Source organism: Homo sapiens, chromosome 22 (genome assembly GCF_000001405.40).
Source record: "Homo sapiens chromosome 22, GRCh38.p14 Primary Assembly".
NCBI lineage: Eukaryota > Metazoa > Chordata > Mammalia > Primates > Hominidae > Homo > Homo sapiens.
The window spans coordinates 31,680,388-31,693,324 of record NC_000022.11 but is presented as its reverse complement, the minus strand read 5'-3'; the positions used below and the strand labels follow the sequence as shown (position 1 = coordinate 31,693,324).

General features: G+C 46.0%; 1 protein-coding gene across 1 annotated transcript in view; it reads left to right on the top strand.

Moving 5' to 3' along the window:
• The window catches only part of PRR14L (proline rich 14 like), a 68,786-nt gene extending 56,808 nt beyond the window's left edge, over nucleotides 1–11,978 (top strand). The window contains exons 8-9 of the mRNA NM_173566.3: nucleotides 5,098–5,169; nucleotides 7,522–11,978. Coding sequence (NP_775837.2) covers nucleotides 5,098–5,169; nucleotides 7,522–7,798 — 349 coding nt within the window. The 3' untranslated portion in view covers nucleotides 7,799–11,978. The remainder of the gene's footprint in view (nucleotides 1–5,097; nucleotides 5,170–7,521) is intronic.
• The last annotated feature ends 959 nt before the right edge of the window (nucleotides 11,979–12,937 follow it).

Here is a 12,937-nt window from a genome sequence, read left to right as displayed (position 1 = left end):
TTCAGCTCTATGACATTCTGGAAAAGGCAAAACCATGGAGACAGAAGTCACCAAGTGTTGAGGGGAAGGAAGGGATGACTAGGTGGAGCACAGAGGGTATGTAGGGCAGTGAAAACTGTTATGTGTGTTACTGTAATGAGGGATACATGGCATTATGTGTTTGTCAAAACTCATAGAAGACAACAACAAGGGTGAGCTCTGACATAAACTGGACTTTTGGGTGATAATAATGTATCAATATAGGTTCATTGTACAACAGTTGTACACTCTGGAAGGCTGTCCATGTGTGAGGGTAGGGGCTATATGGGAACTCTCTACTTTCTGCTCAGTCTTTCTGTGAACATAAAACTACTATAAAAAATAAAGTATAAAAAAAAGAAAAGATGACCAGGCATGGTGGCTCACGCCTGTAATCCAAGCACTTTGGGAGGCCAAGGTGGGAGGAATGCTTGAGCCCAGGAGTTCAAGGCCAGCCCGGGCAGCATGAGACCCTGTCTCTACAAAAATAAAAATAAAATGAACCAGGCATGGTGGCACACTCCTGTAGTCTCAACTATTTAGGACACTGAGGTGGAAGGATCACTGAGTCTAGGATTTCAAGGCTGCAGTGAACTGTCATCAAACCACTGATCTCCAGTTTGGGCAAGAGAGTGAGACTGTCTCCCCCTGCCCAACTCTCTCCCACAAAAAACAAGATAATGTATAACCCACAGAATTGGAGAAAATATTTGCAAATCACACATCTAATAAGGGTCTGGTATCCACAAGCTATAAAGAACTCTTATAGTTCAACAACCAAAAGACAATAACCCATATTTTTTAAATGGACAAAGTGTTTCAATAGACATTTCTCCAAAGAAGATAGACAAATGGCCCACAAGCATTTGAAGAGATGCTGTTGACATCATGAGTCATCAGGGAACTGCAAATCAAAACCACAGTGAAATACCACTTCCCACCCACTAGGATGTAAAGAAACAATAAAACAGAAAATAAGTGTAGTAAGGGTGTGGAGAAACTCAAACCCTTATACACATCTCTTGGGAATGTAAAATGGTATAGCCACTGTAAAAAAAAAAATTGGCAGTTCCTGAAAAAATTAGTTACCATATGACCCAACAATTCTTCTAGGTATATACCCAAAAGAATTGAAAACATGCCAGGCACGGTGGCTCACGCCTGTAATCCCAGCACTTTGGGAGGCCGAGGTGGGCAGACCATCTGAGGTCAGGAGTTCGAGACCAGCCTGGCCAATATGGTGAAACCCCATCTCCACTAAAAATACAAAAATTAGCCAGGAGTGGTGGTGCGTGCCTGTAATCCCAACTAATCGGGAGGCTGAGGCAGGAGAATTGCCTTAACGCAGGAGGTGGAGGTTGCAGTGAGCTAAGATCATGCCACTGCACTCCAGCCTGGGTGATAGAGCAAGACTCTGTCTCAAAAAAAAAAAAAGGAATTGAAAACATACATTCACCAAAAAACCTGTGCATGAATATTCACAGCAGCATTATTCATAGCTAAAAAGTGGAAACCAAATGTTCCTCAGTTGATAAATGGATAAAGAAAAGATGGTATATCCATAGATGGCGTATTATTCAGCCAGGAAAAGGAACGAAGTACTGATACATGCTACAACAGGAGTTAACTATGAAAACAGCACATTCTATATGATTCATTTTATATGAAAAGTCTAGAATCCTTAGAGACAGAAAGTAGTTTAGTGGTTACCAGTGCTGGGTGGCAGGGGAGAGTCCAGGTGACTGCTAAAAGTAGGTTTCTGTTTGGAGTTATGAAAGTGTTTTAAGGCTGGTTGTGGTGGTTCATTCCTATAATCCCAGCTCGTTGGCAGGTAGAGGCAGGAGGATCACTTGAGCCCAGGAGTCTGATACCAGCCTGGGCAACATAGTGAGACCACATCTCTACAAAAGATCAGGTCAGGCATCGTGGCTCAACCCTGTAATCCCAGCACTTTGGGAGGCTGAGACTGGAGGATCGCTTGAGCTGAGGAGTTCAAAGCTAGCCTGTACAACATAGACCCTATCTCTACCAAAAATAGTTTTTAAAAATTAGCCCGACATGCCTGTGATCCCAGCACTATGGGAGGCCGAGGTGGGCAGATTACCTGAGGTCAGGAGTTCAAGACCAGTCTGGCCAACATGGTGAAACCCTGTCTCTACTAAAAATATTTTAAAAATTAGCCGCGCGTGGTGGTAGGCGCCTGTAATCCCAGCTACTCGGGAGGCTGAGGGAGGAGAATCGCTTGAACCCGGAATGCGGATGTTGCAGTGAGCCTAGATCACACCACTGCACTCCAGCCTGGGTGACAGAGTGAGACTTGGTCTCAAAAAAAAAAAAGAAATAGAAAAGAAAAAAAAATTAGCTGGAGGCCGGGCATGGTGGCTCACAGCTGTAATCCCAGCACTTTGGGAGGCCAAGGTGGGCAGATCACAAGATCAGGAGTTTGAGACCAGCCTGACCAATATAATGAAACCCTGTCTCTACTAAAAATACAAAAATTATCTGGGCATGGTGGTGCATGCCTGTAGTCCCAGCTACTCAGGAGGCTGAGGCAGAAGAATCACTTGAACCCAGAAGGCAGATGTTGTAGTGAGCCAAGATCACGCCACTGCACTCCAGCCTGGGCGACAGAGCAAGACTCCGTCTCAAAGAAAAAAAAAAAAAAAATTAGCCAGGGACTATAGGTCCCAGCTACTTGGGAAGCTGAGAGAGGAGGATTGCTTCAGCCAGGAAGGTCGAGGCTGCAGTCAGCTATCATTGTACCACTGCACTTTAACCTGGGCAAGAGAGCGAGATGCTGTCTTTAAAAAAATGAAAAAATAGGCCAGTCACAGTGGCTCACGCTTGTAATTCCAGCACTTTGGGAGGCCGAGATGGGTGGATCACCTGAGATCAGGAGTTCAAGACCAGCCTGGCCAACATGGTGAAACCCCACCTGTACGAAAAAATCAAAGTTACAGCTGGGCATGGTGGCTCACGCCTGTAATCCCAGCACTTTCAGAGGCCGAGGTGGGTGGATCACCTGAGGTCAGGAGTTCGAGACCATCTTGGCCAACGTGATAAAACCCCATCTCTACTACAGAAAGTTACAGCTGGGCATGGTGGCTCATGCCTGTAATCTCAGAACTTTGGGAGGCCGAGGTGGGTGAATCACCTGAGGTCAGGAGTTCGAGACCAGTCTGGCCAATGTGGTGATACCCTATCTCTACTAAAAATACAAAAATTAGCTGGGTGTGGTGACACGCACCCGTAGTCCCAGCTACTCGGGAGGCTGAGGCAGGAGAATCGCTTGAACCCGGGAGGTAGAGGTTGCAGTGAGCCGAGATTGCACAACTGCACTCCAGCCTGGCAACAGAGCAAGACTCCATCTCAAAAGAAAAAAAAAAATCAAAAATTAGCCAGGTGTGGTGGCGGATGCCTGTAATTCCAGCTACTGAGGAGGCTGGGCAGGAGAATCGCTTGAACCCGGGTGGTGGAGATTGCAGTGAGCTGAGATCGCGCCATTGCACTCCAGTCTGGGCAAAAAGAGCGAAACTCTGTCTCAAAAAATAAATAAATAAAATAAAAAAATAAGCCGGCTGTGGTGGCACACACCTGTGGTCCCAGCTACACGGGAGGCAGAGACAGGAGGATCTCTTGAGCCCAGCCCAGGAAGTTGAGGCTGCAGTGAGCCATGTTTGAGCCACTGCAGTCCAGCCTGGGTGACAGCACAAGACCCTGTCTCAAAAAAAAACTGGTCTTGATTAGATAGTGGTGATCAGGAATAACCTTGCGAATGTTTTAAAAATCACTGAATTGTACATTTTAAATGGATGAATTTTATGATAGGTGAACCTGGGCTCCTTGGAGAGTGATTACAGGTCTAGGGCAGGAAATGAATAAGATGAATGTATCTTGTCATACCAGAAGGTAGCAAAGCTCTCAGAGACTCCTAGGGTCATGTCAAAGGGATTCAGGGCCAGTTTTTTCTTTATTTTTTAATTTTGTATAGAGACAGCGTCTTGCTTTGTTGCCCAGGCTGGTCTCGAACTCTTGGGCTCAACAATTCTCTTGCCTCAGTCTCCCAAGTAACTGGGACTACTGTTGGGAGCCCCCATGCCTGGCTCTCAAGAACCAGTTTGAAGAGATTACCTCTGGCCACAGATGAGACTCAAAAGAATAATAAGTTCAATAGATTAAAACATATCAAATATAAACCCAATAGTTAATAATGATACTTTAAAAAATTTAAAACCATTGGCCATCTTTGGAAGATACTGGGGAACCAATTCATTGTTTTGGAAATTGGTAATAAAAGGAAAAAAGCAAGCATATGGCCTGCTTTTACTATTCAAGCTGTACCTCAGGGTTACTGTATAATTGATAGGTGTGAAGGGTTTTTGTGTGTGTGTGTGTGTGTGTGTGTATGTATATATTTTTTAAGAGACAGGGTCTTTGTCACCCAGGCTGTACCCAGTGTCAGACTCCTAGGCAACAGAGCAAGACCCCATCTCTAAAAAAGAAAAAAACAAAAAAGAACAGAATATATAGTTTTCTAGTCAGTGGAGGGAGATAGAAAAAAAAGAACAGTCAGTTCACAAAAAGAAACATTGCAAAGCAGCACAAACAACAGCTGTAAAGTAGATATAAATCTATGAAAAATAATATATATAAATCTAAATATATCATTCCCAGTAAGTATGAATGGGCTCAGTTACATAAAGTTGAAGGTTGGTACCCTGGAAAAGAAAATCCAGTACATATTGTTTGCATGAGACACATCTAAAACATATTACAGACAGGTTGGAGCAAACGAAAAGGATAGCATTGGGAAATAAGTCTCTTCCATCTTAGGAGAACATGAGGCTGTGCACAGTAGCTCATGCCTAATTTTTTTTTTTTTAATCTAGCCTGGCATGGTGGCACACACCTGTAATCCCAGCTACTCAGGAGGCTGAGGCTGGAGGATGGCTAGAGTTTAAGGCTGCAGTGAGCTATGATCATGTCACTGCCCTTCAGCCTGGGCAACAGAGCAAGACCTTCTCTGAAAAAAAAAAGAGAGAGAGAACCTGAAGAATTTTTTTCCTTATTTCTTTTCAGGTTAAAGAAGAAGGAGTTTAGTTTAGAAGAGATATATACCAACAAGAATTATAAATCTCCTCCTGCAAACAGGTAGGTACTTATAGCTGGGAAATAAAAGGGAAGAATTTGAAATGATTGATGTGAATCTCCAGCCCTTTCACTTTAGAAAGAGTTTATGTTCAGTTGTACCAATATTGGGTCTTTTTTTTTTTTTTTTTGAGACAGAGTCTCTGTCGCCCAGGCTGGAGTGCAATGGCGCAATCTCGGCTCACTGCAAGCTCCGCCTCCTGGGTTCACGCCATTCTCCTGCCTCAGCCTCTCCGAGTAGCTGGGACTACAGGCGCCCGCCACCACACCCGGCTAATTTTTTGTATTTTTAGTAGAGACAGGGTTTCACCGTGGTCTCGATCTCCTGACCTCGTGATCCGCCTGCCTTGGCCTCCCAAAGTGCTGGGATTACAAGTGTGAGCCACCGCGCCCGGCCAATATTGGGTTTTATAAATAGCTAGAATTGGTATTTTCAATTGCAGCACTTGAATTAGGGTCAGTAATAGGATAGGAAATAAAGTGTATTGGGTTACGTAAAGAAAATGTAGCCAGGCACGGTGGCTCACGCCTGTAATCCCAGCACTTTGGGGGGCCAAGGCGGGTGGATCACGAGGTCAGGAGTTCGAGACCAGCCTGACCAACATGGTGAACCCTGTCTCTACTAAAAATACAAAAAATTAGCCGGGCATGGTGGCTCACACCTGTAATCCCAGCTATTTGGGAGGCTGAGGCAGGAGAATTGCTTGAACCCGGGAGGAGGAGATGGCAGTGAGCTAAGATCACACCACTGCACTCCAGCCTGGGCAACAGAGCTAGACTCTGTCTCAGAAAAAAAAAAAAAGAAGAAAGAAAATGTAGTCTCAGCCAGGTGCAGTGGCTGACACCTGTAATTCAAGCACTTTGGGAGGCCAAGGCGGGCAAATCACCTGAGGTCAGGAGTTCAAGACCAGCCTGGCAAACACAGTGAAACCCTGTCTCTACTAAAATACAAAATTACCCAGGCGTGGTGGCACACACCAGTAATCCCAGCTACTCGGGAGGCTGAGGCAGGAGAACCGCTTGAACCCGGGGGGTGGAGGTTGCAGTGAGCCGAGATCGCGCCATTGCACTCCAGCCTGGGCAACAAGAGCGAAACTCCATCTCAAAAATGAAAAAGAAAAAAGAAGTATAAACAAGTAGTTTGTGTTTGTATTTTTACCAAATATGCTGACTTCAGGACTGATAATCATTGATTTTTCAGATATGATTGTAAACCGAAATACAGGAAGAGTTTCACTTAGGTCTGAATTCAATTCAAGTCAGTGAACATTTATTAAATGCCCACTGTTTCTAGAATATAGAAGGAGAATTGTAGGATTTTATCCTAAGATTTTGTATGTCTGCTCTAACACATTTGTACAATTACTTATAATTAATTCCTTATAATGGAATATACTGTGTAACCATTTAAAAAAAACGAATCAGAGCCAGGCACAGTGGCACATGCCTGTAATCGCACCACTTTGGGAGGCCAAGGAGGGAGGATCACTGGAGCCCTTGAGTTGGAGACCAGCCTGAGCAATATACCAAGACTCCATCTCTACAAAAAAAAAATTCTTTTTAAATTAGCCAGACATGGTGGTACATGCTTGTAGTCCCAGCTACGTGGGAGGCTCAGGTAGGAGGATAGCTTGAGCCCAGGATGTCGAGGCTGTAGTGAGCTGTGATTGTGATTGTGCCACTGCACTCCAGCCTGAGTAACAGAGTGAGACCCTGTCTCAAAAAAAAAGTTTTTTTTTTAAAGATGAGTCAGGGCTGGGTGCAGTGGCTCACACCTGTAATCCCAGCACTGGGAAGCCGAGGCGGGCGAATCATGAGGTTAGGAGATCAAGACCATCCTGGCTAACAGAGTGAAACCCTGTCTCTACTAAAAATACAAAAAAAAAAAAAAAATTAGCCGGGCGTGGTGGTGGGCACCTGTAGTCCCAGCTACTTGGGAGGCTGAGGCAGGAGAATGGCGTCAACCTGGGAGGCGGAGCTTGCAGTGAGCGGAGATCACACCACTGCACTCCAGCCTGGGTGACAGAGTAAGACTCCATCTTAAAAAAAAAAAAAAATTAACCTGGCATAGTGACACATACCTGTAGTCCCCACTACTTGGGAGGCTGAGGCAGGAGAATCGCTTGAACCCAGGAGACAGAGGTTGCAGTGAGCCAAGATCATGCCATTGCGCTCCAGCCTGGGCAACAAGAGTGAAATTCTGTCTCACAAAAAAAAGAAAAAGAGTTGGCGCAAGTAGCTTTCAGTCCCTGTTGACTAGAAGGGTTGTTGACCCAGCGTCAACATCCTGACCCTGTTGACAGGATGGGCCATGTGAGTCAGTCTGTTGGTGATTGTTTCGTGCTTCATCCTTAGGTGTTTAGAGACCATCTTTGAGGAACCCAAGGAACGAAATGGTACACTAATCTCAATCAGCCAACAGAAGAGGAAGCGAGTTCTAGAATTTCAGGATTTTACAGTCCCGCGAAAGAGGAGAGCTCGAGGCAAAGTCAAGGTGGCAGGCAGCTTTACCAGGGCCCAGAAGGCAGCTGTGCAGAGTCGAGAGCTGGATGCTCTTTTGATACAGAAACTAATGGAACTGGAGACCTTCTTTGCCAAGGAAGAGGAGCAGGAACAATCATCAGGCTGTTGAGAAGCGATTCAGTTTGAGGGTCTCAATTTTAGGGTTTTTTTGTTTTGTTTTGTTTTTGGGTTTTTTTTTTTTTTTTGGACCTCCTTGGAAAAGGTTGCCTAATTTTGCCCTACCGCCAAACCACTCAAAAATGCACAGTCCATGAATTTTTACCTATTTCAAGGTGCAACCTTTTTAGAAACTGGTGAAGGAGGGTCCTCTACTTTTACTGCTGAGTATAGAACCTCAGGAATGCTCCCTTTCTCCTGGAAATGGACCTGAACGACATCCAGCCACCTCCTCAGTCTCTGCCATCCACAGGAGGAAGCAGCAGCCTATCTTCAGTAACACTAGGATTCCAAGGACACACAGGATTTGCACGTCCATATGAAAGTTCCGCTTTGTTTACGGTGGTGCTAGACCAAGATTATTAGAAACGTGGCCTAGGGAGGGGGACCTGGCGTCCTGTCCTGTGTGGTCTCACTGGCTCATTTCAGTAGTTGAGGAAAGATGAGCTGTTGTGTTTTCTTATCTTTTGTCTGCCCAGGACCTATTGATGTGAGTGTATGTGAGAGTGTTTGTGTGTGTGTGGCTTTTTCCCATCGTTTTCTCCCCTCTGTGACTGGGTCACTAGTGCCAGAGGAGCCCGTCCAGGCCCCATTCGAAGTAAGTTGCACTTTTTAATGTTGTGGTGTGGATTATTTTCATTTGTTTTATTTTCTTTTTTGTTGTTGTTTTTGTACTATTATTGCTGCATGTGTGGAGCCTTTAAATGTGATTTTAAAACATTTTTTTAAGGAGAAAAACAATACATGTCTTAAGAATACATGATAGGCATTTGACCCAGTTGATCGCTGCATGGAAGAGACATTTTTCCTATTCATGTGTTTCAGGCAATCCCTTCCCCATCTCCAGCTTCTAGTGTAACTCATTAGAGGGAGCACTTTTTTTCATCTGGGTTCTCATTCTTGCCCACCAAATACATGTATTTATTTTAGTGATTTAAGTAAGAGCAGGTTTCTCTCCCGATCATTGAAAAACTACTATGGTTGGGTGTGGTCTTAATGGTTTTTATCTGAAATGGTGTTAGGTAACAAAATTGAGTACAACGGCTTGGGCAGTGATACAGGCTGACCCACAGTATTTGTGGCTTTCCAGGCAGCCCGCTTCAAGTGTGGGGAGAGAGTCGGGGTCATGTTTCAGACCCAGAGATGTGTTCCTGCAGTGGGATCTCAAAAATCCCCAGCCAGCCTTCTTTGAGGGCCACCTCATTGTACTCTGGGCTCCTACGTCACATCTACCGGAACTGTCAAATGCTGGAGTTAGCCGAGTTTCTGGGTTTGTGCCTGCAGGAGTCTGTGGGCAGAGGGATGCTGTGGGTCAGCAGCCTCGAGGTCTTGTTCCTTTTCCACTGAAGTCCTGTGTGTCCATATCCTGCTCCCCTTCCCCTCCTTCTCTAGGGGTTTCTCTTTCTCTCTCAAAACAAGAGTTTAGAGAATTAACATTCCATGGCTAGTGAGTGGGATGCAAAAGTCATCGTCAGGACACCAGCATCACCTCTTCATATCCTCCTGGGAGCCACTGGCATGGAGCAGCCGCCGATGGGAACCGTCAGAGTTCTAGGGACATTTCCAAGTCAGTCTATTAGAGAAGAGTGAGTGGCACGTCCTGGAATGTTGGCCAACTCTCCTAGGTTTCTTTTGCTTCCCCATTTGCTAGTGGATGGGGAGATGGGTTGGGGGTGGGGGGTCTCTATGTGCCTTGCTTTTGCAGGTTGACAGTCTATGCCACACTGGAGCAGAAAAACTGACATGAGCCAGAGGGAAAAGTGTGCCACGGCTATGTTCTAGGCCCACTGCCTCAGACATAGCATTGAGACGAGTGAAATACACACTTGGTCATCCACGGAGGCTTCCAAGGCCATGGCCAAATACAGTTAGAAGAGAGCCAGGCTTCCGTACCAGCTCTGAATGATGCTAACCAGATTCTGTCATTCTACATCCACTTTGCCCAGACTGTATAGACACGACCTATGTTTCACCTCAATACCTCTCCCTTCCTGGGACAGGGTTCTTAGACACTAAATGCTTCTCTCTGACTTTTTTGCTTAAGGGAGTGGGATGAGTAGTACATTTTGCCCTTGTCCAGGCATGTTTAAGGAGCTCCTACTGGACAGGTTGCAGACTAGCAGTGAGTCAACAGAGCCCTGTTTGCCAGCTCTGTTGCCAGTATAGATGCAGTGATGTGGCGGCTATGTTTCCCAGAGACAACAGTGGGCACAGCTATAGTGTCACCAACATGGCAGAGATAGTTTCAACTGTGCCTGTTACAGGTGTGGCACTCGAAGGACCAGAAGCAGCGGTTTGGAACATGGGTAACTGGGAGCAGAGGACTGGAAGAAACAGAGCTGGGCTCCTTCCCTGTCCTGACAATGTAGGAGAGGAGTTGTTGTGAGGCCAGCCCTGCCCGTCGTTGAAATTCTGGACCTACCCTCTAGCTAGGTCCCTTCCCCTGCTCCAAAGTTGAGAAGGGGGCCCCACTGCAAACTTGAAATTACTTACCTGAAGGTGATGTATATACCTAGGCTCCAGCTGCGCTCAGCCACACCTGTCTTAACATTCAGTTTCGGCACTGAGCCAGCTGCAGTGTTGTCAGGGGTCCCCAGGCCCGTGGTCCCTAACCACGATGGGACATGGTAATCGGCTGCTGGCACACCACCTGCCCAGAGCTACAGGAGGTCTGGTTCTGGGGTGGAGTTGGTACAGTTTCTGAGTATGGGAACTTCCCTCCCCAAGTGGTGGGAAGTTACAGTTAACTACAGCTTACTCAACTATCACTTCCAGAGGTTTAGTGTTTTTAATATGGGAAAGAGGAGAAATCTCAGGTCTAATCAGGGTTCTGCCCATCAGCTTTTCACTGAAACTTTCAACTGTGTTTTGTTTTTTGTTTTTTTTTCCATCTTTCAGTTTCTAGCTGTGTTTGCCTTCTCCCTCCGCGTTCCCTCCTCTTTTTTTGCTTTTGGTCTCCTTTCCAGCTTCATGTCTCCATGAGTTCAGCTGTACCTCATCTCCTGTTAAAGCAGATCATGTCCACTTTTTCTTACTGACCTTACTCTAAGCTACAGTAGCTGAGGGAGGTACGGTGAAGACATGTAGCGTTTGCCTTATTCGGAGCCTGAGGAGCCCAGAAACCCATGCTGTGAATCCCAAAACTCAGCGCTCCTCAAGAGCTGTGAAAATCATGATACTTTGTCACAATTTTGCCTGAAAGGGTCTTTGGCACGGGCTCCAGAGCCAACCTGAGGTCCATTCCAGATCCCACTATCTGGGCGTGAGACCTCCCCCGTGGCTCCTTCCTTGCCCACTGAGCCAAGAGCAGCAGGGAGCGTACAGGACGGGAGCAGCAGATCCAAGGCCGCGGTGCAGCCAATGAATGCACGGCCGTCGCTCCGTCTCCAGGCTGGAATTCCGTCTCATAATCAATGCCATGTACATTAAGATCTGCGAAAGACCAACTTTTAGGCAGTGATACTTTTCTCCCATTCCCTGGGGTGGGGGGAGTATGCAGTTGGTGCTTTCTGTAATTCCCTTGTTCTGTTTTGTTTCTGTAAGCTTTTCCCCTGGTGTCATGGAAAGGACTTCTTAAATAACCACATTGTGGGTGGCTGTATCCAAAGTTTAAATAATTGGCCAGAAGTGCAGAGTATCCTTTCCTGGATTCGTGTCAGAAAAGGGCTCCTTGCCACAACTGAACTTACTGTATAAAAACCTGGCTAGGGAGATTTAATTTTACTAAAATTACAGTTTAATGTTACCGTCTAGCCACAAATCAAGCAGCAAAAGCTATTTTGATGATGAAAGGGGGTCCCCGTTGAGCTGGCCATCTAGTGCAGTGTGCTCTCAGATTCCATGTTTGTTGATTGTGTGTCTTCACAAGCCCCTCTCTGGTGCTGAATTGGATTTGAATTCTTGGTGAGAGGCCTCAGCATCTCCTTGGGCTGGTCTGGGCCAGTAAAAATAGCTGCCTGACATGTTTATATATTATCATGGTCAGTAGTTCAATGAAATTTGTACATTTTTGGTAACATTGGTATACATGATGCCCCTGCAGTTCCTTTTCTGTTTGGTAGTTTGTGACTCTAAGATTTCCACTGTTATGTGTGTTAATTTATGAAAATAAATTTTTTTGAAAACCTTTCAAATAACTCTCAAGGCCGTTACTTTGTTCTCGTGGCTTGGCAATAAGTTAAAATAGACATTCCAAAGTTATATGTCACAGTAAGCATCGTTCCTTCCAAAGTGGTCACCATTTTCTGAGGAGTATCCTGTTGTAACTGTGGGACCAGCTCAAACTGATTAACCATTGCTTAAGTTGTTACAGGTGAGACAGCCAAAATTGCCTGAGCGTGCACAGTGGAAAAAAGCTTTAACGTTTTAATTGTTACCACCACGAGCCTGGCAGGCCGACTGCATTGGCATCACCTAGGACTAGATAGGAATGCCATAAAAGCTTGACCCACTTCCAGATCAGGGAGACATTTGAGCATTGCTTCCTGTCTCTGTGCCAATTGACTTTTTTTGGGGGCGGGGGGTGGAGTTTCACTCTGTCGCCAGGCTGGAGTGCAGTGGCATGCAATCTCAGCTTATTGCAACCTCCACTTCCTGGTTTCAAGGGATTCTCATGCTTCAGCCTCCCAAGTACTGGGATTACAGGCACCCACCAACAAGTCCAGCTAATTTTTGTATTTTTTTTAGAAGAGGGTTTCACTATGTTGGTTGGGCTGGTCTTGAACTCCTGACCTCAGGTGATCCCCCCACCTCGACCTCCCGAAGTGCCCGGATTGCAGGCGTGAGCCACTGAGCCCAGCCTCATTTACTTTTTTTGAGACAGAGTTTCACTCTTGTTGCCCAGGATGGAGTGCAATGGCACGATCTCAGCTCACCGCAACCTCCGCCTCCCAGGTTCAAGCGATTCTCCTGCCTCAGCCTCCCGAGTAGCTGGGATTATAGGCATGGGCCACCACGCCTGGCTAATTTTATACTTTTAGTAGAGACGAGGTTTCTCCATGTTGGTCAGGCTGCTCTTGAACTCCCAACCTCAGCTGATCTGCCCGCCTCGACCTCCCAAAGTGCCAGGATAGCAGGTGTGAGCCCCCGTGCC